At 33.4% G+C, this 27,639-nt stretch overlaps 1 protein-coding gene and 1 pseudogene across 1 annotated transcript in view, besides 1 other annotated feature; one reads left to right on the top strand and one right to left on the bottom strand.

The window, feature by feature from the left end:
- Positions 1 to 27,639, bottom strand: part of ADGRB3 (adhesion G protein-coupled receptor B3) — a 754,225-nt gene that overhangs the window by 705,523 nt on the left and 21,063 nt on the right. The window lies entirely within an intron of this gene.
- LOC124901511 (uncharacterized) lies at positions 18,739 to 18,856 on the top strand (annotated as a pseudogene).
- Positions 26,253 to 26,547: an enhancer, noted in NCBI's record as "tiled region #12523; K562 Activating DNase matched - State 5:Enh". NCBI's record gives its function as "activates a minimal TATA promoter and a strong SV40 promoter by Sharpr-MPRA in K562 cells {active_cell/tissue: K562}" and the evidence as "EXISTENCE:reporter gene assay evidence [ECO:0000049][PMID:27701403]".

Here is a 27,639-nt window from a genome sequence, read left to right as displayed (position 1 = left end):
ATGAGGAGCTGAGAAGCAGATGTCCTCTTCAGATAGTTTATTAGTGTTCCTACCAGCCACATAGTGTAGGTAGTCCTATGCACTTACATCTGTCACTGTTTATCCACTTAAGTATCTGCTTGGTCCAAGCAGGCCACTGCATTTGCTATGCCTTATATGGGGCATTTGCAAAGACAGAGGGACACTGCCGTAAAGGTATAATGAAGGAAACTATTAGCAGGTATTTATAAACTTAAATCAGACGTCACTTCTCTGCTCACAATCTTCCATTAGTCCTACATCTCAGGAAAAATGGAAGCCAAAGACCTGGCAATATTGACGCAATCTCAGCTCATAGGCCACAAAATTCATCTTGATTCCAGTGGCCCATCAAATATTCTTCATATAAACATTTCCTTAATATAAAGCAATACATATTGTAGAAAAATTAAATAGAAAACATGTAAAGGGAAAATATTACTCATAATTCCATTGTCTAAAACAATCACTGCACTAGTTGCTTTTAGTACATATAATTTTTGTAAGCCAACTTTTAAAAATTTAATAATAATGATGCAAACAAATTTTCCAAATCAACAAAATTTTTGAAAATATTTTTGTTTTATGGCTGTATCATCTTATCTTATGATATCATAATTTAATTATTGCCAGATGTTTGGGTGCTTAGTTTCTAGAATAGGGTATTATAAATACTAGCACCATGTAAATCTTTATCAATATCTCAGATTACTTTTGCTTAATAAATTCTTGAAAACAGAATTATGAATCAATTTATTTAAAAATGTATAGGTACATGTACCCAACTTTACATGTTTCCAGCAATGTGTATATTAATCTAACCAATATCAACTATTTTTATTTAAAAATATTTATTTATTTTTTTAAGAAAACACTGAATTGGCCAGGCGCGGTGGCTCATGCCTATAATCCCAGCACTTTGGGAGGCCAAGGTGGTTGGATCACCTGAGGTCAGGAGTTCAAGACCAGCCTCGCCAACACAGTGAATGGCAAAACCCTGTCACTACTAAGAATACAAAAATTAGTCAGGCGTGGTGGTAGGTGCCTATAATCCCAGCTACTTGGGAGGCTGAGGCAGGAGAATCACTTGAACCCGGGAAGCAGAGGTTGCAGTGAGCTGAGATTGTGCCACAACACTCCAGCCTGGGCGTCAAGAGGGAGACTCCATCTCAAAAAAAAAAGAAAAAAAAAAGTGAAAGAAAAAGAAAACATTGCATCAACTCCTTATGTGTCCTCTGTCATTTTATTTGTGGTGTTTGTTATACAAAATTTTTAATTGTGTGGAGTCAAATATAGTTATTTCATTATGGTCCCTTCCTTTGACTTTCATGATAAATAGTGCTATTGCTGCTAACAGCATAGTCTGATAAATTTTACGAAGAATTATAATTTTTTATTTCTTTTAACTAACAATATTTCTGAAACTTAATTTGATATATGGTAAGATATGAGTTTCTACACTATTTTTGTTCTTGCCAAATAACTTGTGCAGTGCATTATATGATTGAAAGTTATCAAATTAAATAAAAGTATTACAGTAATTTGTTGTTCTGAATTTATTTTCTTTGGTTCGATTTCAACCTTCAGGCTACCCTGATTGTTATCTTGCTTTATATTTATACAACAGCTTTTATCTTCAAATAGGGTATTCTCTATTTGGAGGTAAAACAAAATAAGCTAAAATTACTTCAAGTAAAAACAGACTGGGTTAGTTGTACACTTGAAATAATGCTTTATTTTCAAATTGTTTGAAATATTACCTGATTCTTGTAAAATACAGTTAAAATTCAGTGAGGGTATATCTGACCCACAGTGGGTTTTGGAAAGAAAGATTCAGCTGTAAATGTAGAGTGGGAAGACACTCATCTGCAACTGGTTCCCCAATTGCAGTGGCCAGTGACTTCTTCCTTGGATCCTGGATTCATGGTCAACCATGACAGTGGAACCTCCCTTGTCTGGCTAACTAAATCACCCAGTAACTTCCTATTATTTGACCTGTCTGTCTCACATTGCTCTTTACTTATAGTATTGTTGCCCATTCCCTACTCAACTAGAGCCAACACTTTAATCCCGTTGTCATACCAGACAGAGTAAAATGCACAGGTTCCTAGGTTAAGTTTAAAAATATACTTATGGATATCAAATTTGGAATGAACAGCTATTGAATCTCTGTTGGATTAAATGAAAATAAATTCTAAAGTACACTAACCTAGTGCCTAGTCCTATTATAATCTAATTTTTGTTGTTTTTGATGTTGTTATGATTTGCTTGTGTAGAGACTTGTCTAAGTCTAGTCTAGTTATCTAATCCTGGATTAGTAGTTTGAAAAGAAAGAGAATATAAATATTGAGAAAAAAGTGCCTTTTAGTTAAAAGTGGCACAATGGAGCCAGGTGTGGTGACTAACTGCTGTAATCTCAGCACTTTGGGAGGCCATGGTGAAAGGACTTCTTGAGGCCGGAAGTTTGAGACCAGACTGAGCAACATCGCGAGACCCCATCTCTACAAAAATGAGAAAGATTGGCCAGATGTGGTGGCACATGCTTGTAGTCCTAGCTGCATGGGGGGCTGAGGTGGGAGAATCACTTGAGCCCAACCTGGGAAACAAAGGGAGATGCTGTCTCTACAAAACAAAATAAAATAAAATAAAGTGGCATGATATAGTTTGGATATTTGTCCCCTCAAAAACCTATTTTGAAATTTGATGCCCAATGATGTTGAAGGTGCAGTCTAGTGGGAGGTATTTGGGTTGTAAGGGAAGTTTTTCATGAATGGCTTGGTGTCCTCTCCACCATAATGAGTGCATTCTAGCTCTATTAGTTAGAGCTGGTTATTCAAAAAGGTGACACACCTCTTTGCTCACTCTCCTTTGCCCTCTTCTTTCTGCCTATTCCCCTTAGCCTTCCTCCATGATGAAAGCTTCTTGAGGCCCTTACCAAAAAGAGATACTTATATCATGCTTCTGGTACAGCTTGCAGACTGTGAGCCAAATAAATTTATTTTCTTTATAAATTACTCAACCTCCAGTATTCCTTTATAACAACACAAAATAGACTAAGACATGGAGGCACACAATCCAGTTTTTTCTTTAAAAGCTAGTTAGTTAAGTACATTTATGACAGATTTTTGAGTATTTGTTTAATGCTGCTCTAAAACTAATCTAATTTCCAAGTCCAATAGAGATCTTAATACTTATATATTATTTACCTATTTTATATACATGTGTATGATTTACCTACTTATCTGAATGTATGCCTCAAAGGAAGAATGAACTAACTATAAGACCAATTGCCACTGATATCATGTAGCTCTTCTGGTTGCTGATAGCCAGGTTTAGAAATTAAATTCTATCCTGTTGGGTTGTTCTAGTTATTCCATTCAGAGTGGAGCCTCAAAGACTTTGGGATTAAAGGGGTTGAAGAGCTCTCAGCAAGGTTAACCAGCTCTACCACAGTTCAAATAGATGAAGAGTCCAAAATGCTCTAAAGGCCGTTACCAAAGTGCATAGCTGGGCCTACCTTTCAGCACACACTTCAAAACCTGCCTCTCTCTACCCTGTGCACTACTGGTCTCTTTCTCCTCTCTCTTGCCCTGCTGCTTACTTTGTACGGATCTATTTTTACTGCCTCTATCTTTTCTGCTTTCTTCTTTTTTTTTCTGTTCCTTAATGTATTGGTTTTTTTTTCCTTCTAGTTGCATTCTTCTTTCCTCCTCCTACACTTACCTGACAACAATATACTTGTGTCTTAGTCCGTTAAGGCTACCATAACAAATATCACACACTGGGTTGTTTATTCATGACAGAAATTTATTTCTCACAGTTCTGGAGGCTAGAAATCTAACTTCGAGGTAGATCCTTTCTTTGGCAAGAACCAACTTTCTGGTTCATAGACAACACCTTCTCACTATGTCCTCACATAGTGAAAGGGACAGGGAGTCTCTCTCAGTCCACTTTTGTAAGGGCGCTAATCCCACTGTCATCACCTAATCACTTCCTGAAGGCACTACCTCCTAATACCTTCCGTTGGGATTAGGACTTCAACATGTGAATTTTAAGAGGTTATATTCAGACCATAGCAACCTATGAAAAGCATTTTTTGTTATTTGACTATTTTTTAAGTGTTTACTGTTCTCAATTATTTCTCTATAGGAAAAATATACTACATTAATTTTTAAATGATGCTTTTCTATTGAACATATCACTAAAGTGTATTTTGGTTTACTTGTTTCTCTATTAAAAAAAAAGATGGCCCTGCTTATCAGAGCCACTTATTTTTCCTAAGCCACCTCAGTCTAAACCTCAATATAGACTGAGATTTCAAATGGAATGATTCATTAATGCTGGCAGATAAGACTGCCTGTGGTGGATGGCACGTTGCCCACCAAAATTTGTGCTTCTCCTTTCATGTATTTTTTTTTTCCTGAAAAGCAGCTACCTAGCCAGGGACTTTATTTACCAATACTCTTTGTGTCTAGGTGTGGCCATGTGACTACTTTTGCCAATGAAATTGTGAGCAGAAGTGGCTCTTCCATTCCAAAATGAGCCAGTGTGCCTTCTGTGCAAGCGTTCCCCTTTCTCTACTTGAATTCAAGAGACCCTATGTCCCTTAAGGGTGCAGATCCACAAGGAAGAAATCTGAATCCTTGCACCACCCAATGAAGAAAAGCCACCCACAAAGCAGGAGCACGTTCACTGAACTGTTACATGAGCAAGAAATAAAGTTCTATTGTGTTCAGTTTGGGGTTTATTACAGCAGCAAACATTACCCAAACTAGTGCACAATTGATTTTGATTTTTTTTGTCTAGACTTGAATATTTTTATATCTAACAAATATTGAATTTTATGCAAATGACTCCTATATAATTTAGAAATTAGAGAATTCTAGGATAGATATCTGAAAGAGAAATAATTTATAGAATGTAAAAATCAGAATAACTCAGTAAAATAGGATAAGAAATTTTTTAAATTGAATTACAAAAAGCCACCATTTGTATTTGTGTGCATAACTTCAAAACATGTCAGGTAAGTCATTGGACAACTTGAAGTAATATCCTTTTTGAAATGTTTTATTATCATTATAATGTTTCTCTGATATTGTTATTACTACTATTAGCATTATTATTTTAATTATTAAATTCAAGAGTTTCACTGAATCCTGGAATCAATACAGTGTTATTATTTTTATAACAATACGATCAATCTTACGTAACAAAAATCAAAGTGAAATTACATGAATATGAGCAATTCACACACACACACACACAAATAGATGCAAAACTGGCTGTTAGATCCAAAGGCAGGAATTCTTTAAATGATCTAAACCTGGATATATTCCTCAATTTCAGATCATTTACTTCATCCAACCTTCCTTTGATTACACCCATATTCTGAATGAAGTCAGCTATTACCCCTCACAGTTTTTCATTCTATCCACCTGTCTTTTATATGTTCTAAAGCAAGGATCACAAGCTCAACAGTTTATAGGGGCTGAAGGGGTGGACAAGGTCTCTGCATCATACTTTCCGGGAAGGGTGGGACTTGTGATAAATGGAGAAGGCTATGCCTCCTCAGGTTGATTGTTGTTTATTTTTTCTCACTTGAAAATAATGTTGACCTTCCTGTTTTTATCAAAGCCACTGTGGTCAGTATAGACTGAGGTTTTAAATGGATGGATTCATTAATACTGATGGATAAGGCTGCATATGTTGTCTTATGGAAACGCTGGCCTAGTGCTTTATTTATTCATTCATTTATTTATTTGAGACAGAGTCTCTCCTTGGCCTCCCAAAGAGCTGGGATTACAAGCATGAGCCACAGTACCCAGGCCCTGAAAGTGTATTTTAAATTGGTGAAGAAAATAAAGACCAAGATCATTAGAGAGCACAGATACTTTGGCCTGTCTTTTGACTTAACATAATCTAAAGAAATGTGGCAGTTTCTAAGGTTTTATTAATGAATGGATTATCAAGATGGTTATTTTTACAGGGTGATATCTCATCAAATTAAAAAAAAATTCATGAATAAAGTAAATGAAGAAAATTTGGATGTCTTTTTCATGTAGCACCCACTTGATCATAACTTGAAAGTCCTTTAAAAATTCCTCACTTTTGCCGGTAGATCACTTGAGGTCAGAAGTTCAAGACCAGCCTGGCCAAAATGGCGAAACTCCCTCTCTATGAAAAATTACAAAAATTAGCCCTGTGTTGGATCATGAGATCAGGAGTTTGAGACCAGCCTGACCAACATGGTGAAACTCCTTCTCTGCCAAAAACTACAAAAATTCGCCCAGTGTGTTGGTGCGCGTCTGTCGTCCCAGCTACTCAGGAGGCAGAGGTGAAAGAATCCCTTGAACCTAGGAGGCAGAGGTTGCAGTGAGCTGAAATCATGCCACTGCATTCCAGCTTGAACAACAGAGTGAGACCTGTCAAAAAAAAAAAAAAAAAGAAAAAAAGAAAAAAAAGAAAAAAATTCCTATGATACTATTTATAAATAAATTCTGAATGATCCATTGAAACATTCAAGTTGGGGGAAAGAAAGACTGTATAATGGCAAAGTAGTGAGATCCCAAGAAGCAGATTCTAAGCTAGTCTGCAGTGACAAGAAGTAAACAACTTAAAATAACTCTTAAGAAAACTAAGTTATCAAAGATTTGCATTGAACCAGAGCCAGTATAAATGCACTGAGGACAGTACATCTTTTACTAGTTAGGAAAAGAAAACCATATGCAGCATGAAGAATGAACTTTCAGTTTTACATAATACACACAGTATTCCATGTAAGCCTTTTAAGAAATACAAATATCTGAATAAAATAAACAACGGAACCTCGCCAATATAGTACGTATTCTTGCCAAATAGTAATGTATGGAATCCTTACTCTTTATGTATATCTCTGTCAAAATGAAAAGATGTGCACTACACAGGAATTCTTTAAGATTTCTGGAATAAATCAGCAAAATGCAATTGAATAAACAATATTCTGAAATGGCTGGCTCCTGAGTAACTGTGTTTTATTCATTTTTTGTTTTTTTATTTTTTGCTTGTCTGTTTTGCAAATTTGATTAGGGACTATTAGAATTTAGAAAAAGCTTATTTTTTTCAAGAAGCTAGTCACTTTCGTTTAACTGCAGGTTAACTTGAAACCCTTGGTAACTTAGAGGTGCCACATGAGTCCTGTTATATGCACATAAGAACTGTATCATTAATTCACCACACATTCATTAAAAAGTCATTTTACTTAGCACTCTACAAAGAGCTATGAAGGACATAAAATATACTGTCCCTGTCCTAAGGGATTACACAGTCTAGCTGGAAATGCAAGACCATAGAAATATTAGGAAACAAAAACAACGTGCATAAAAATGTAGTTTGAAAGAGATTCACAACATAGTCGCTTAAACAGCAGTTCTCTGGCTATGAATTAGCTTCATTGCAATGTCGTTATTGCATTAGCATTCTGGAACGATAATACCATCCACAAAAATGGCAGGCTTTCGTTTAAGAAACAACCAACCAAATTTTTGAAGTCAACTTCATTCTCTCTCTCTCCTTTTCTTTTTTTTTTTTTTTTTTTTTTGAGACAGAGTCTCTCTCTGTCGCCAGGCTGGAGTGCAGTGGTGCGAGCTGGGCTCACTGCAACCTCCCACTCCCCGGTTCAAGCCATTATCTCGCCTTAGCCTCCTGAGTAGCGGGATTACAGGCACGCGCCACCACGCCCAGCTAATATTTTGTACTTTTAGTGGAGACGGGGTTTCGTGATGTTAGCCAGGATGGTCTCCATCTCCTGACCTCGTGATCCGCCCGTCTCAGCCTCCCAAAGTGCTGGGATTACAAGCGTGAGCCACCACGCCAGGCCTCATTCTCTCTTTTAAAGAACAGTACTATTTAAGTTGAAGCACTTTGTGTAAATACATACAAATAATTTTTTATCCAAATGTTAAAATGAGGCAAAGAAAAGCAAATAGTATTGTAAGTGAAAGACAAAATGGAGGTAAATAGTGATATATGTAATTAGAAAAATACAAGAATAAAAAGATTAGAGTAGCAGTGGTTTCATAAAAAGCGGATTCTTCAATTTCTACTCATTTGGGGTTTTGATGATTGGGAGAAGTTTCCAAATAAGAGAATGACTGAAGACCCTGTCTGAAGCTTCGCCACTAGGGAGAAATGAGAAAAGCAGAGTATGCTGCTTAGTCACTGAGGGCTCTTCCACAGGAAGGCCTGTGGTCCCACTTACAGGGGAAGGTAACTGGAGAAGCTGGTGCCCTGGCGATGAAAACTCCTCTTGCAGTGGATATCTCTGTAGATCTTTTTTTCATTTCCATCCATTCACTCGTGCTGCTTCTTTCCAGTCAAAATCTTGCTTCTACTTGATTTTTAGCTTTTCCTGTGAGTTGTCTTGCTCTTTCAATCATATATGCATGCTTTAGACTCTTCCCTCATGTTGATTTCAATTTTATTTTTATTCTAACATTAATTTCACTCAAATTAATTTCTTAGTTCTAAATACCATTTTTTTGAATTTTAAGTCCAGTTATAATAATTTCCTTTTTTCTCCTTGCTTTGGAACTTCTGTATCCCCAGTTTTAAATCTTTTGTGTACTTGTTTCACTATGTTCTACTTTGTTATTGCTTTAGGGCCAGAATTTAAATTTTGTAGCAGTAATTTATCAACTTATCACATATTTCCTTTGTTTTCTCTTCTCTGTATTGATTGTAAGCAATATGCAAACCTGGAAGAGGTGATGTAAATATGTCTAAGGAGGATGGAGGATATCTTACTTCCAGCTTCTCCTGCCCTTTCTAACCATGAGTTCAGAAGAAAATATTACCTTTTTTCCTGACAACACCATCCACAAGCAACTAAACTGCATCAATGTTAGGACTGTGTAATAAATCTCACTATTCGCAATACATATTGAAGGAAGAGCCTGAAACACATCAGTTAGACACAGTAAGGACATCCCCTGAACCAGGGTCCAAAACATAATCTTTAACTTCCCTATCTTATATTTTACACTGATCCACACCCTATACTCCAGGTAGAACCTATGAACGCTGAGTATGTTCCTCTGCTCTCCCAATACAGTTTTAGAAAAACATACGATTTGGAACTAGAAACATTTTGAATTAAATTTTGCCTCTTTTACTTAACTGCTGTGGCACTCTGGAAAAATTATTTCAGCTACTGCTTTTGTGTTGGCTTCAAATGAATGCCGTTCTCTTCTTCCTTTTGTTCTTTGCATCTCTATAGACTGCACCTCTTTCTGGAAGAGTTTCAGCACATCTAAACATGTTGAAATACAAAATGTCCTTCAAGGTATAGCTCATAGGTCACCTGGACTTGAAATCGATTTTCCCTTTGCATGATAAACCAAGAGTAGTACCGTATTTATAGCTCTTTCAAGCTGTGATTAAATTCTAGTTCTTCTAACATTTCCTTTGTATTTGCTTTGTCACGCCTAATAAGTGGTAAACATCTCAAAAATAGAAAAATAAGATTTTCATTTGAATTTCCCCTGTGACATCTAGTACATTTATTTATGCATGTTTGTGTAAAAGTGGTTGCATTTTTAATGTATAATATTTTTATCACTATTTGTGGCAAAAAAATTCCCTTCTATTGTCTTACAATGTTTCATGCCGTCTAAAATTTTTTTAGCTTTTAAAATCATGTTACGTTGCAACTAATTCATGTTATTACCTAAAATATTTTGACAGCATTCCAAACAAAAATCAATCAAAGAAAGCACACTATTAACATCAGAAAATCCTTTCTCTCTCTAACTGTATAAGATGCCAACCACTCAGACAGCCTCAGATAAATTGCCTCTAGTATAGTGTCTTAAGGTCATCATATCCTATGATTCTAAAAATAGGTGTGAGATGCTTTCCAGGGAACTTCTAAATAATAGAGATCTTTAGAAATGACTTTGGCTTTGGACTTTGAAGGCTGTCCCTTATTTTATAGTATAAGAAATCTAATTATTTTAAATTTCCTTAAATTTACTATAATTTTGGCAACTCTTCCAGTAATTGTTCTCACTCAAAGGCACATAGAGATAGCAGAATAGGAAGTAAATAGTCCCTATTCCCTCTGCATTTGAAGGACAAAGATTTGTCCCAGGACAATCTTAATGAAATATCCAAATGTGAAACCTGCTTCAGGAGAATTAGGCACTAAATTTAGAAATAAAAACCTTCCCAAGTTCACTAATGGGTAACAAAAAATAAGGGTCTGGAAAAAAGCCCTGAAAAAAAAGCCAGGGAAATTGTTTTATCATCTCTGAAATTAAGGGAAGTAGCAGGATAAAGATTGCTAGTAAAACCCCAGTGACAATTATGTAGGTTTCCAATAACATGTTAAGGTTTTATCTTTTGCCCTCTTCTAGTTTCCAGAGTCTCTTTTATTTCAGGAACACACTGCTCTCTCTTTCTAGCTAATACAAGGATAGTCAAACAATTCCTCTCACAAACAGCAGGTAGCAAGATAATCTGAGAATAACAGAGGTTATGGAGACTGATAACACTGAGTTTTCAGCATTGCTTCATACCACACACTGCTGTACATATTATCTTTTCTGGGAGTGAGTTTTTCTCCTGTTAAATGGCAATAGTAATTAAACTTACTTCCCAGGGTTTGTATGAGAAGTAAATAACTAGTAGTAAATAAAGATTCTTGAACTTGGTAGGTTACTTCCCTCTCTTCCTTCTATGCTGTCTATTAGTCAGAAAGGGAAATGAGGGAACTTATCTACCAAGGATAAGAATCTCTACTTATTTTCAGTTATTTTTATACCCATTCGAACCCTTGAAGGTGACTTTAATCGTTCTTGTCATTTAATTATTATTGCACCTAACATACACAAACATACACACAGACAGATGCAAACAAACACATACGTATACACACACACCTACTGAGAGAGAGAGAGAGAGAGATTCAGTTTAAGGAATTTTGGCTCACATAATTGTGGAGGCTAGCAAGTGTAAAATCTGCAGGGCATTCCTGTGGTCTGAAGATGCAGGGAAGAGTTGATATTGCAGCTCCAGTTCAAAGACAATCTGGAAGCAGAAGTACTTTTTTGCGAGGAGACCTTAGTCTTTTCTCAGAAGGCTTCAACTGACTGGATGATGCCTACCCATATTATGGAGAGTAATCTGCTTTAATGAAAGTCTACTAACTTAAATATTAATTACATTTAAAAAAATACCTTCCCAGCAACATCTAGACTAGTGTTTGACCAAAACCTGGGTACCATGTACTAGCCAACTTGACACATAATCTTAACTATCAAACTCTGCAGTAGACAGTAATCTCATTTCAAGGTAAGCTCAACCCAGATATTGCGCACTCCTGTATACCAGGCAGCCCTGTGATCTTTGCTACCAAAGGTAAATATGAAGATATTTCTTGGAATATAAAAGGGCCTTATCCATTCATTAAGTTAAATTTTATTAAATATTTTCTCAGTAAAAATTTCTTGAAACAACTGTTAGTGGAAACATAACATATAAAAACCAATGAGATACAGCAAAAGCAGTACTCAGAGGGAAAGTTACAGCTACAAGTGCATGCATCAAAAAAGAAGAAAAACATCAAATAAACCGGTTAGTGATGCATTAAAAAAAGAATCAGAAAAGTAAGAGCAAATCAAACCAAAAATTAGTAGAAGAAAAGAAATAATAAAGATCAGATCAGAAACAAATGGAATTGAAATGAAGAAAGTAATACAAAAGATCAAGCAAACATAAAGTTGGATTTTTGGAAAGTTAAACAAATTTACAAACTTTTAGCCAGACTAAGAAAAAAAAAGAGAGAGGATTCAAATAAATAAAATCAGAGATGAAAAAAGACATTATAATTGATACTGCAGAAATTCAAAAGATCATTAGTGACTACTATGAGCAACTAAATGACTATAAACTGGGAAATTTAGAATAAATGGCAAATTCCTAGATGCATACAACCTACCAAGATTGAACAAGAAAGAAATCCAATACCTGAACAGACCAATAATAAACAACAAGATCGAAGCAATTATTAAAAATCTCCCAGTAAAGAAAATCCTGGGACTCATGGCTTTACTTCTGAATTCTACCAAATACTTAAAGAAGACCTAATACCAATCCTACTCAAACTATTCTGAACAAGAGAGGAGGAGGAAATACTTTCAAACTTATTCTATGTGGCCAGTATTACCCTAATGCCAAAATCAGACAAAGACGCATCAAAACAAAACAAAACAAAAACCTACAGGCCAATATCTCTGATGACTATTGATGGAAAAATCCTCAACAAAATCTTAGCAAATCAAATTCAACAATACATTAAAAAGAGCATTCATCATGACTAAGTGGGATTTATTCCTGGGACAGAAAGATGATTCAACATATGCAAATCACTCAATATGATACATCATAACAAGAAAATAAAAGATAAAAGCCATATGATCATTTTAATTGATGCTGAAAGAAGCATTTGATAAAGTTCGAAATCCCTTCATGATAAAAACCCTCAGAAAACTTGAGATAGAAGGAATATGCCTTAACACAGTAAAGGTGATATATGACAGACCCACAGCTAGTATCATATTGAATGGGGAAAAACTGAAAGCCTTTCCCCTAAGACTTGGAAAACAACAAGGTTTCCCACTGTCACCACTGTTATTCAACATAGTATTAGAAGTCCTACCTAGAGCAATCCGACAAGAGAAAGAAACACAGGACATCCAAATTGGAAAGGGAGAAGTCAAATTATCCATGTTTACAGATGATATAATCTTATATTTAGGAAAACCTAGATTCCCCCAGAAAACAATTAGAACTGATAAAAATTCAGTAAAGATGCAGGATACAACATCAACATACAAAATTTAGTAGCATTTTTACATACCGACAGTGAACAATCTGAAAAATAAATTTAAAAAGTAATCCCATTTACAATAACCACACATCAAATTAAATACTTAGGAATTAACATAACCAAGGAAGTGAAAGATCTCCATAAAAAAACTATAAAATATTGATGAAAGAAATTAAAGAGGACACCAAAAAAATTGAAAAATATTCAATGTTCATGGATGGAAGGAATCAGTATTGTTAAAATGTCCATACTACTCAAAGCAATCCACAGATTCAATGAAATCCCTATCAAAATACCAATGACATTCTTTACAGAAATAGAAAAAAGATCCAAAAATTTGTATGGAACCACAAAAGACCCAGAAAAGCTAAAGCTATCCTAAGCAAAAAGAACAAAACTGGAAGAATCACATTACCTGACTTCAAATTATGCTACAGGGCTATAGTCACCAAAACAGCATGGTACTGGCATAAAAAACAGAAACATAGACTCATGGAACAGAAGAGAGAACCCACACACCTATACTGAACTCATTTTCAACAAAGTTGCCAAAAACATCCATTGGAGAAAAAAGACAGTCTTTTCAAAAAATGTTACTGGGAAAACTGGATATCCATATGCAGAACAACAACACTAGATCCCTGTCTCTCATCAAGTATAAAAATCAAATCAAAATGAATGAAAGACTTAAATCTAAGACCTCAAACTATGAAACTACTACAAGAAAACACTGGGGAAAATCTTGTGGCCACTGGTCTGAGTGAAAAGTTTCTTGAGCAAGACCCTACAAGCACAGGCAACCAAGGCAAAATAAATGGGCTCACATCCAGTTGAAAAAGCTTCTGCACATCAAAGGATACAATCAATGAAGTAAAGAGACAATTCACAGAGTGGGAGAAGATATTTACAAACTACCCATCTGACAAGGGATTAATAACCAGAATATATAAGGAACTCAAACAACTATATAAGAAAAAAATCCAATAACCCAATCAAAAAATGGGCAAAAGATTTGAATAGACATTTCTCAAAAGAAAGAACACAAATGGCAAACAGACATACTAAAATGTGCTCAACATCACTGATCATCAGATAAATGCAAATCAAAACTACAATGAGATATAATCTCACCCCAGTTAAAATGGCTTATATCAAAAAGAGACAATAACAACAGCTAGCAAGGATGTGGAGGAAATGGAAGTCTCATACACTGTGGGTGGGAATGTAAGTTTGTAAAACCACTATGGACAACAGTTTGGATGTTCTGTAAAAATCTAAAAATTGAGCTACCATATTCACTGTTGGGTATATACCCAAAAGAAAGGAAATCAATACATCGAAGAGATATCAGCACTCCTATGTTTGTTGCAGGACTGTTTATAATAGCTAAGATTTGGAAGCAACCTAAGTGGCCATCAAAAAAATGAATGGATAAAGAAAATTTGGTATACACACACACACACACACACACACACACACACACACACACACACACAATGGAGTATTATTCATCCATAAAAAACTGGGATCCTGTCATTTACAACAACGTGGGTGAGACTGGAGATCATTATGTTATGTGAAATAAGCTCAGCACAGAAAGACAAACATGGCATGTTCTCACTTATTTGTGGGATCTAAAAATCAAAACAATTGAACTCACGGACATAGAGAGTAAAAGGATGGTTACCAGAGGCAGGGAAGGGTAGTGGGGGATTGAGGGGTAGATGCGGATGGCTAATGGGTACAAAAGAAATAGTTAGAACAAATGAATAAGAAATAGAACAGATGTTGTGCTATAAAATAGCACAACAGGGTAATTGTAGTCAATAATAATTTCATTGTACATTTTTAAAAAACTAAAAGAGTGTAATTGAATTGTTTGTACCTCAAAGGATAAATGCTTGAGGGGATGGATGCCTCATTCTCCATGACGTCCTTATTTCACATAGCATGCCTGTGGAAACATCTCATGTATTCCATAAATCCCATAAATATATACACCTACCATGCGCTCACACATTTTTTTAAAAATTATAAAAATAAATACATACATACATTCACAAATATTTTCTCAGTGCTAGCTCCTTTGTTAGGTGTTCCCATCCTAAAATTAATTTAGACATCTCTTATTCACCAGACCACAGGAAGAAATATACAATGCTACGGGATGATTACTTTATAAAGTTTTCCTTATTGTAACAAGAGAACCTGATCAACTTTGGGGGAGTCCGGAGAAGTCTCTTCCAGAAAGTGATACTTAGGGTAAGAAGTGAAAGATGGGTATGTGTTAATTATACTTTGGAGGTAGAGAGAAAAGAAACTCGAGGTTCTAGTAAAGGTAATAGCTTATATATGGGCCTTAAAGCATTAAAAAGTGGTAACAGTAAGCTAGCAGGCGATGAGGATGAAGACTGGAAAGAAGAGCATTTCCCACCATTCCAAACTTAAGAAAATTACAGGGAACTCTGGTCCTAGAGAATAAACACCATCTTTCTTGGCATACAAGTTAATTAGTTCACAATTTGAAAATAAATTATTTCCTATATCTAAAAAACTATGAATATGAGTTTTGACATATTTCTTCATTAAACTGATAGGAAATTATATCCTCAAAATCCATAAAAATGAATACAATTACCAAAGGAAAAAGAACTTGTGCTGATTATAGCAGATATGATGGATTGGAGCTCACTGTCTATTATAGCTTCCTAATATGAATTCCTGTGCTGTCAATTTTGAAGGGCTAAAATCTACATTTTGCAGACTTCCCTGTCGGTAGGGTTCCGGATGTGATTTAGTTTCAGCTTATTAGACACTGTTATACAAGATTTGAAAGAGAGATGTTTTTTCTGCCATAAAGATGGCCATGAAAGCATTTTGTCCTTTGGGGGATCATTCCACTATTGATGCTTATGAAAAGATTTAGCATGAGGCTTCAGTTTTTTGGCTCTAGCAGCTGCTACAGTTTGGAACCAATATTCTACATGGTAACTTCCTGTTCTCTAACTTGCAGGAAAGGGGATTATCATCAGTTAGCTTATACTACATGGTACTTAGTAGCTTAAACAATCAACATTTATAGTTTCACAAGGTTATGTGGCTTGGCTCGGTGGTTCTGATCCCCAGGATGTTCTGCTAGGGCTGGATGGTCATATATGTAGGTCCGAGGCTGGTGTGGCTGGAATTGTTCAGTGTAGCTGGGATTGTTCTAAATGTGGGGCCTCTCTCCTGTGGTCTCTTATTTTCCAGAACACTAGCCCTAGTCGCAGACATTTTTCAGTGTACCAGTGGCCAAAGTATATCACATGATATAGTTAATTGAAAACATGGCAAGAAAATTTTACAGCTCTGTTTCACTGACTCTTGAATCTGGGCTGGCCTTGTTATAATAGTTATTTTGACAAATAGAATATGGCAAAAATAACAACATGCAGCTTGGGATCCTAGGTATAAAAAAACCTTGGAGTCTCAGAAATTTCTGTTTTCCTGGAAGAAAGTTAGTTATGAAATTTTGTTCTTATGAATGAACTATTTATTATACTGATGTAAATATTTATCTGAAACACATATTATTCTAAAAATTGTTTGACTTTCTCAGGTTCTACGGATATAAATTCAGACTGGAATCATTCCTAAAATTTCTTTCAAGATTATAATATTAGGTTAAAGAGAAGACACAGAACTATAGACACTAAGCAGGGGAAGACCTATGAATTAGCATTTTAGCATGCACATCCAGGTTTAGTAGAACTGTGAAACCACCAGGTAGCTTTGATGGTTTTGCTTAAATCTATAACATTAAATTTCTAGCTGAATTGCACTATGAACAAATAATCACTTGTAAATCTTACAAGTTCCTTCCTTTTAAGTAATGGGAGTGTTTCTAATCATTCTACAATTATGATTATAAGTTGAACTTAGCCAATGATACCAGTTTGATCTTTATATTTTATAAAAGTTACATTACATTTTCCCCTAAAGTTTAAAAAAGTACCAGCTCTATGTTCTATATATAATATAATTCTATATATTCTGGCATGGTTTATAATGCAGTTTGACTATACAGTAATCCATTACAACTACTGAATGACAACTACAATTTTCCAAGTAGTATTATTAATACTAAGAATAGTGGGTCAACTTCATATTTGTAGAGAACTAAAAATAACCACATTAATTTGGATATGATACTTTTTTTCAGAGAGTACAAAACACTTTCCTTTAAATTATCCCATTATCTCAATCATTGGCCACTAAAATTCCATGTATTTCTTATCAAGGTCATTTATCATTTCTTTTTTTAGGGTAAGTCATCCAACTACATTTATTAAGTTCAAAATAAGTTCTAGTTATGACATTAATAAGTTTTCAAAAATTATTCTAAGAAGAAATAAAAATAGTTAATGACAAAATTAGACGATAAGGTAGAATTTTAATTTGCTACTTTATTTATAATTCTTAATTTCAGAGAAATTAAGAATAAAATTTTTCTCAAAATATCTTGATAGACTTTACAATGAGCATTTACAAAAACCACAATGTTATTCTCTGGGACCTATGACTAACTTGCGTGTCAACAGAACAGAAGAAAGCATTTCTTCTGAGGGGACTAGGACAATTACAGGTATCCATCAAAAAGTGTAATGATAGGGACAAGTGGATTGAAAAAGGACCCATTTGTTCAACTCTCTTCTAAATGGGAACAGTCACATGAATAGACAACTTTAATGGTGGAAGAGAACATAGAGATATAGGTCAAGAGCCAAAATCTCAAATTCCTTCCGTGGTCACACAACTAGCATAAATGTATGAAGTGGCTACACATGAGCTAATTCTGAGTGGCAGAGACTGAAGGAACTAGTGACACCATGCCCTGACTGAAAGCATTTAAGTTTCAAACATGCCTTAAACACTGAGCTAATACATCAAAATGTTTCTTCAGGTAGACTCAGGTCTGCTAGTTTGTGATTCGAGATCTTGTCTATGAGATATTTATTAATGAAGAACATGACACTCAAAGATAGGAAGTGTCTCGCCTAAGGTCAGAGGTAAATAAATCCCATGAATATATTCCAAATGGAATGCACACCAAAATAGTTAAATGTCACTATATAAAACCAAATATTATGTTTATTTATCATTTGATGTTAGATAAACTTCTAAGAGATCATACTGCACTGCTAATCTTGGGATTACAAAATTTAGACACTAATATAGGATGTTTATGTGATATACATTTATATTACTATAGTATTTAACATAAGAGCTCTGTACATGAATACAAAGGTGTTAACTTATAATCCAAATCATAAGTATAAATTATTGGAAATATTTTATTTCCCTAATTAGTATATTCAGAATAAAGTATTTATAGTTATTAATTTGAAGAATTTAAAGAGATATCCAAGCAAAAACATATTTAATATTAGAAAAATGAAGCCCCAATTAGCAATGATGATGTTCATGATAGTTTAACATTATCGTGTAACTATCATGGTATGTGGTACTTGTCTAAACACTTTGCATATGTTGGTCAGCTCCATTAAACCCCAACAGAGCTCTGTGCAATAGGCACTGTTATTGTTGTTGTTGTTTTCCTCCAGAGATATTCAAGTTATACCAAAATACCTAAGGTCCGATAATGTTAATTTAGATAAAATTATTTTGAGGAATATATTTTGGACTCCAATTAAATACTTCAAAGAATTAGCATCTTTTTTATCTTTTCTTCCAACTCTTGAAACCCAATTGGCACAACAAAACAAATATAAAGAGAAAGAAAAACTATCCATTTACAGCAAAGAAATGAAAATACCATGACCCCAAAACACAAACTACAGAACCTACAAAATACCAAGACTATACTTTCAGGGATCATTTCTATAGTTTGTTACTAGAGAAGTTTCTCTGAACGTGTAGAGCACCGAGAACCTACAAAATACCATGAAATGAGAAGTGATGATAAAGAGTGGTCCTTCACTCTTCACCTTTCAAGAAGGACAGCATTCCCTAAAGTATCTTGGCCAGTAAAGAAGGCTGAAGGTGAAGCCTGGTGAAGGTGGGAGGGGAGAGATCTCGTGACTTAAAGAATCGAATCCAATTACATACACAGTACATGAACACCAAAAACTGAGAGATGAGCTCCCACCCAAAGATTGAGTAAGAATGTGTATAAGACTAAACTCTGATGGAAGCTGCTGCAGTCCACTCACTGTCAGCCACACTCTCCTTGTGCTCACTTCCCTCCAAAAGCCCCCTTCACCCTCCCTTATGCAATATTTCAGACAAATATTTGGAGGCAGTAAAGTACAGTGGTGAAGGCTCTGGAGACAGCCTGGGTTCAAATCATCATTCTACCACTGTGAATCCCTGGGCACGCTTAACTCTCTGCACAACTTTCTTATATAGGCCAGAAGAGCATAAAAATAGTAGGATTCAGAGGTATCTATCTTAGTCAGTTTGGGCAGGTGTAACAGAGCACAATAGCCTTGGTGGCTGATAAACAAAGGAAATGTATTTCTCATAGTTCTGGGAGCCAGAAGTCTGAGATCAGGTTGTCAGCATAGTCAGGTTCTGGTGAGGACCCTCTTCCATGTTCTTAGCCATTGACTTCTTTATGACTCACATGGCAGAAAGAGAACTTGCGAGCTCTTTGACCTCTTCTTGTAAGGGCAATAATCTCATTCACGAAAGTTCCATTCTCATGAACTAATTGTGACCCAAAGTCCCCAGCTCCAAATATCATCACATTAGCATTAGGATTTCAACATATGAATTTGAAGGATGGCAAAAACATTCAATCTCTAACAATATTTTATCCTAAATATAATATCAAACACATCTCAAACATTTTCATACTACTAAAAAAAAATCGGTATTTGAGAATGAGGGTACATCAGCTTTCAGTAATGATGTTACCATAAAAAATGTGCTTAAAATTATTTATTACGTTCTAAAAATGTAGGATGCTATGAGAAATAAAAGTAAATTAAGACAAATGAGAACACTTATCATTTTAAAAACGACAAATATCATTCAGCATATTCGACTCATTTTAAAATAATCCTTTTATCCCATGAATGAAATTTCTGAATTCAATTTTGCTGATGGTGACTTTCCTATTGACTCTCATGCTTTTAGTGAAAATTAAATTGCACAAAAATACCACACTGCAGATGTTTTAGTTGGGCTACTTGTAATTTATAGATAATGTAACTCTAAAGATCACAATGTGTAGCACGCTAAAATACTTGAATCATATTTGACTTTCACATATTTAATAACGAAGTTTCTAGATGAAGAAGAAACAGTAGAAAGCCAAATGCTCTCTTCGGCTTTTCATATTTAAGTCATGATGAAATCAAGGCAACTTGCTCATTGATAGTTGTAGAATTTCTGCCACTTTAAAATTATTTCTATTCAAAGCTTCAAAAGTTTCTATTCATGGCTCCTAAGGAATGAAGGCAAAAATTGAAGCAGGCGATTCTTTAAAGCAAAATATTTCTTTCATATTAACCCTGAAGTTCTACAATGCATTGCCTTCTATGGGCAAAACACACATGGATAGTAATGGCAGATCTAAGCAAATATACACAATTTAAAAAGGTACAAAATTGGTTGCATAAATTCAAATGTATATTTTTATCCTATTAATCTCAAGTTTAAAACTCCAAAAATAATTAATAAAATATAAATATTTTTCAAGTACTAGAATATAATTTTGTATTTTATATGATTTATTATGCAAATTTGGTAAATCACACATTTTTAAAATCTAAATGAAAGCTTGATTCAAAAATCAGGAAGCACTTCCAACAACTTTTCAAAATGGGTCTAATGGAGCAGAGTACTAAAAATTATATGATGAACACAAACTATAATTTATTGTTTACAAATGCAATGAAAATTCTTACTCAAAATTTAGTCTTCTTTGTATTTATTTATGAAACTTTAGGAAAATGAATTGAAATAACAGAGGTAAGTCAAAATAAAATAAAAGTTGTTTAAATGTTTATCTTATGTATTTCGATTTACTTTTCCATATAATATTGTTGAAAGCTGACTTCCATATAACATTGTTGAAAGCTGACGTAATGGGTTTACTAGAAAGTTATTATCTATTTAACCAAAAAGTTTATATAATATCAGAAAAAAACTTATACTATATATTATAATATAAATAATAGCAATTCTGGAAACCTTGGGAGTTAATTTTTTTTGTCTTCCCATTTTCCTTAGAAGTGAGTAGTTCCAAAATAGTGGTTTTGTAGTTAATTTGTCAAATCGAGTCAATAAAGAAAGGCACTAAATACTATTTTCATGATTCTCTTGGGATAACATTAACATATATGCATAACTGATTTTTAAAGCTACAAATAATATTTTTATAGATGATACATTGTGTTCTAAAGTTTCTATAGCAGATGAATTTTATATTCTAATACTGTTTTGAGATATACTCATTTATCACTTTTGTGTACGGACACTAGAATACAACTTTTATCTTTAACTCAGACTCCTAAAGCAATTGTTTAACAGATATTGAAAGAAATTTTTTTATAATTTTTAATACAACTTCTAAAACGCATGACCTGTGACCACAGCTTTAATTATTCACAAAACATTCCTTACTTAAGCCTCAGTATTCTGATTTTTCTTTTCAATATTTGACTAAATTGGAATAATACCCAAAATCTCGCCCTATCCTGGGAACTTCACTTAAATTCTCTCTTTATCTTAGATTATTTTTCTTATTGATAATGTAAAATAAATTTACCTCTGAAAATTAACTTAGACTCCCCTCTCCAATGGTTTCATATTTTCCCCAAAATTAGTAAGCACTAAAATTACATGAAAAGGACTATTCTAAGCTGCTCAGATTTGTTAATTTGTTATGTGGTAAATCCATAGCCATTAAGTGACAGAGCTATAATATCAAATTCTATTTGTTTTTACACAGGACATTGCCAATTTAATTATCTGCCAAAACCTCACACTCATCATTTCTGCACCATACTTGGCTCGACTTGAACCAGCTCCCCTTTGCAAATTCCTGACTTGTGCCAATATCACAATCATCAAAAGTGAAGCCTTTTATTTCCCTCTGGTACTTTGTTTAAAAAATTTATGATCCCTTGTCACTTTAAATGTCTCAAACTGATCACACTGCTTTTCATCATTGTTTTTCAATTACTTCTGTTGTAATCAATTTATTTTTGGATTACTGCAGAAGCCTCATCATGGTCCCATTAAGGCATCTGGTTCCCTATTCCCCTTCCCAGATAGTCTAATTTTGCTAGCTTAAATTTCACTCAACCTCTACCTCCTTCATGATAACTATTTGCCTGTCTCCCTCCACCCTGATCACAAATTCCTTCTGAAGTTCCCCCACTACCATTAGATTAAAATCAAAAGCGCCTAGCCTGTATTTATTTATTTAGCTTTATTTAAAGCTGTTTCTTTCACTCAAATTATATTCCTGCCAATCATTGAAAGTCCAATCTAAATCCAAATAGCCATAGGTCATAACTATATATATATATATATATATATATATATATATGTATACACATATATATATGTATACACACATATATATGTATACACACATATATATATGTATACACATATATATACACACATATATATGTATACACACATATATATATGTATACACATATATATACACACACATATATATGTATACACACATATATATATGTATACACATATATATACACACACACACACACACACACATATATATATATATATACACACACACACACACACACATATATATATATATTTTGGCCACCTATAATGTTTGTTTCTTCCCAATAATGGCAAAAACCTTAAATAATCTTCTCATTTTGGGTATTTATTAAATATATTCCCTATTTATATTCAGTGGCTCTGACTTGAAGGCTAATAATATAATATACAAATAAATCCTGTTTGCCATTACTATCTCATGTAATACTATACCTAGAGGCACTTCTTGAAAAATTAAGGTCCAAAAAACATTTTTTTGTATATAAAATCATTGAACTCATAGTATACTACTTCACTGTGATGCTTTATATATGTTAGTAATTATATATTTATAAATAAATACATACAAATACATAATTTTTGCAAAATGATTTTAGACTAAGAAGAAGGAAAACACTAAGAATCATGATTTTCTGACAGCCATTTATCCAGCTTATTTCATATAAATTGTGTACATGCCTGCCATCCACAACTATTGTAACATAGCATGAGTTAAATTAACGTTTTGCTGAAGACAAGAAACTTATGGCAAAACTCAATCCTATTTGTTGATAAGATCTTAAAAATTGGAATTACTGTGTAAGAGTAATTATAAAACAACATCCCTTGCTATGTAATTGAAGCATTTAGCTAGAGATGAGACATTTTAAAAGAAGTCCATCATGGTTTACTTTACAAGTGTTTCAATCTTATCTTTATTGTCATTCTATTAAATAAGCCTACAATATACCTAGAAATTTGGATATATGGAAGTAAAATTTTAAAAGGATGGAATATCAATTTGAGTGGCTCTGAATCATTTGTACCTTGAAAGGAGAATTCACATCATTAACTTCTGGTATGGCCTACACAAGGTAATTGTGTGTATAATGATTATTCATTTTTAAAATTAACTTAGAAAAGTAACTTTTTTCCCTGCGATCTGAGAATGCAGGCTCATTTAACACCTTCCATTGAAAGTATCCCAAAGTATCAACATACTAAATGAAAAAAAAAGGAAGTGATACATAAAAAAGATTCACTAAAAAAGGTAAAAACACATAATATTAAAATATATTTTAATACTGTACTTATATGAAATATATTATAAAATATATAATCTAAAAATATATTAAACATCTGAAAAGTTGTGAGCCTAGTCTTTATCTAGTCAACTCAACATTAATTTCTGCTGAATATGACATTGGCTATTACTATAATATTGTTTATTGCCTAAAATGTGCTTATACGAATTTCAAGGACATTCTATCATAATTATCTGTATTAACTTCAAGAACCGGCTTTCTTTGTCACATTTATATTAAATTGAAGTATGGTTTTAATCAGTGATATTCATATTATGCATATAAATTTCAGCTATTCTACAGTAAAGGATTCTCAATTTGTTTTTCAAGGAAAATCACTATGGCAAAAGAAAGCAAGAATTAATAGTAGTTAATCCTTCCTAGCAATTGTGTGTGCATGGAGGATCAGTGTAAAAGATGGTTACTGCTGTGTTAAGTTTCATTACTCCAGGTGTTAACCAGATGTTCAAAACAAGTAAATTGCCCTAGAATGGTTTTCTAAATTCTTCTTCTTAATCTGTTAAATTATGCAAATGCTAGAATATTTTTAATCGTGTACCTAAAGTCCTTTCACATAATTCGCATGATATAAGAATTCTGGAGTAATTTAAATACAACTTTTAAAAAGATAACATATAAAAATAATTCATATTAGAGATGACAGGATATATATTTGTGTTGTAATATAAATGTAATAGTTACAAATTACATTAAAAAATCAATAAAAGTCATTCTAAATATATTTATGGGGAAATATGCTTCTTCGCATATATAAATATGAAATAAATTCAAGAAAACAAAATAAATAAGAAAAAAAGGAAACTTTAAATCATCTTATGTACTTTACAGATAATTAATTTTGTTATATTTTCTCCTTCCTATTTTTTTACTGACAATGACCTACATAAGTTCTCTGAATTGTCTTTTTTTTTTAGAAAAAATGAAGTAGCTGTTTTTTATCAAGAAAAATAATTTTGTTTTGATTAGTTCCTCTGAGGAAACTGTCACATCCCCAAAACATTGAATCACTTATCATTTAAAAAAAATTGCATCAGCTTGATTTTCAGTAATTGAGTGTTACCACAATTAAGAAAATAGCACAAAAAAATTATTTTAGTTAGAATGGATCAGGATTTATTTTTTTCTAATAGGATATTTATTTTTGGTTCTCAGGTAAATAAAAGTTGAGAGTTACAAAAGAACTTATGAAAATTATTTTAAAGACAAAAATTAAATAAAATATTCTCTAAGCCAGGGAATGAACTTTTCACCTCTCTTTCTTTTACAGGTATCCTGTATCTTCTGGTACTAGAGATGCTTAATCTAACTATAAATTATTTTTGTCTAGTAGAAATGACATCTTACCAACTTAAAATCATTAAAAGATAATTGTAATTCTAGTTTTATTTTGATCTTCTATAATCATAATTACAGAAAAGATTAAGCAGCTCGTTGTGTTAATATGGTGCTAAGTAAAGTTCAAGGTAATTAAACAGCAAAGCCTTTAACATCTATGCCCCTGTAACCTAAGACATTTAAATTTTTCTAAAACAAAATGTTAAACATAGACTAAACTTATATCTAAATAAATATGTATACTAATTTAAAATGTAGCAATCCAAAAAACTTTGTATTAGTGAGTAAAAAGTAAACTTTGCATGTCTCATAGCAGGTCGAAATCAATACTCCATTTTTTATCACTTGGAGGTTTCCTGGGAGAGATGAGATTGCAGAATTCTTTGAGCAATAGGCTTGGTTAAAGAAGAAAGTCCTTTTATTAGTGAGGATACATGCAGGCTATAGCTTGGAAAACACTAGGTGGAAGAAACATTACCAGACAGAGGCCACTAAGCATATCTGGAGATGTACTTTGCAGGATTTAAAATACATATATTTTTCTATTTGAAACGTCCTATAGTTACAAAACATGGGATAAGCTAAGTTCTTTTTGAGTTTTTAACTAATATTGTGTTATATGTATCTTTACAGAGTGGTGGTATAGTGTAAGGGCTCAGAGAATGAACTTGAATTCAGCTCTGCCTCTTCTCAATGTGATACTATGCAAGTCACTTAACTTTTCTGTGTCTCAGTCTTTTCATCCAGAAAACAAAAGTAATAATAACAGCTATCTCATGGGGCTCTTAGGAAGAATGAAAGAGTTAATATTTAAAATTTTATCTGACACACAGGAATAATTCATTAGTATTGTGATTATGAAATACACAAATAAATAAATACAAAGTATGGGCTTAGTAGTCTGTTGTTTGTTCCATTTGAATTCTCAAAATATCTACTACAGATGGTAAATTTCCATTAACGGATTACTAAAATAGCCATTTCCCATAGATGCCAGGTTAACAGAAAAGTTTATACATTTGGGGTTAAGTTGTGCAATGCCAGTTGTGTTTAATTAATCAAATACATAATTAATCAAAATAGATATATTAGGCTGATATTACCTGAATTAAGCAAAGATCTATACAAATTTGCATATAGATTCACCTATTAATTTTGCTACACTTGTTCAAAGGCACAAAACTGAGTGTTTTTAAAAGTGTTTACAAAGTCTAAGGTTTGATAAAACCCTTTACAAGTTGAGTAAGTATTTTAAGTAGAAAGTAATAGGAAAATGTTTAGTTTATCTACTAAATTTGCTGAGTAATCCCATCAGAACAAAACCATGGCCAGCTGCTTGATCACATTTGTCCTCTGAAATAGTCCCACCTATCACCTGCAGAGGAGGACAGACACCAATCTGTAGTATTTTCAAGACTGATTCAAAAACATAGCATAAAATTTTGAAGCTCTGTTAACACGTTTCCATATTTTCGTCTGTTTAAAAATTTTTACTGATGTAAAATTTACCTCATTTGCATTCTTTAAAGACTAATACATTTAATTCTTAGTTACATGACATGGCACTGAGACCTAGGCTTATTTATATATAGCCTTTGCCCCCTACAGAAAACAAATAGTTCTGTAAAACTACAATATCTCCCAGACCATTTTTGTTTTTAGCACTTGGGGAAATTTTTTGATAAATCTTCATTTGTACTCATTTTCCTTTAATGCTAACTCTTGACTTTCCCAGGAAACACAAGGACAGAAAGGATGTGTTTATTTTTAGGCTGCTTGTCTGATTGATGTAAGAGTGGAAGCCTATTATAAAGCAACTCATTATATTTCTGATCTTCATCTACAGATGAGTAAAACTGGAATTGAATAAAATCGAAGTCATTATACTTCATTTTCTATGGGCAGCCTAAAACAACGTTTTAGATTACTTAAAAAACCTGAATTAAGAGAACTTCCCACTTCTGCATTATTTGTGCATTAATCTTAATATTGCTTTTGGTACAGACTATATTAAGAAAGAATAGATATGATTTCTATTTTGCAGATGCAGAAAATAAAGTTCATATTTTCTATGAACCAAACTGTGAAGCAAACTGCCAAAGGTCATACTAGTGGAAAGCAGGGTTGGGAGTGGAACTCTGAAATATGTGAATATGAAGCCGAAACTCATTGCTTCCAGTGATATAGAAAGTAAAAAGAAAAACCAAAGAAATAAATGTTTTCCTAACAGAATATCAGAGTCTTAATTTAAAATGTCAAACCCAGCAAATCTATCCAACAATTTGTGATATTTATCATCAAAGGACTGGACCATTATTTCACATACATACAGGCCAATGAACTAAACTAATAAATGTGAACAAATTTACAAGTTTATGTTGGCAATAATAATAATTACAACAACATTTTTGCATGCTGGTTTTCACTTTTCTAAATAGATTTCGTGTATATTACACTTTCCATATAATCCAGTGTGTTACAGATGATTATTTTGATCTTTATAACTGAGCAAACTGAAGTTCTCTCTAAGAGATTATGTGACTTGCCTGAATTTGCTCACAC

The sequence above is a fragment of the Homo sapiens genome, chromosome 6, assembly GCF_000001405.40.
Source record: "Homo sapiens chromosome 6, GRCh38.p14 Primary Assembly".
NCBI lineage: Eukaryota > Metazoa > Chordata > Mammalia > Primates > Hominidae > Homo > Homo sapiens.
Note: the sequence above shows the minus strand (reverse complement) of the source record. Positions and strands in the feature narration are given on the sequence as shown.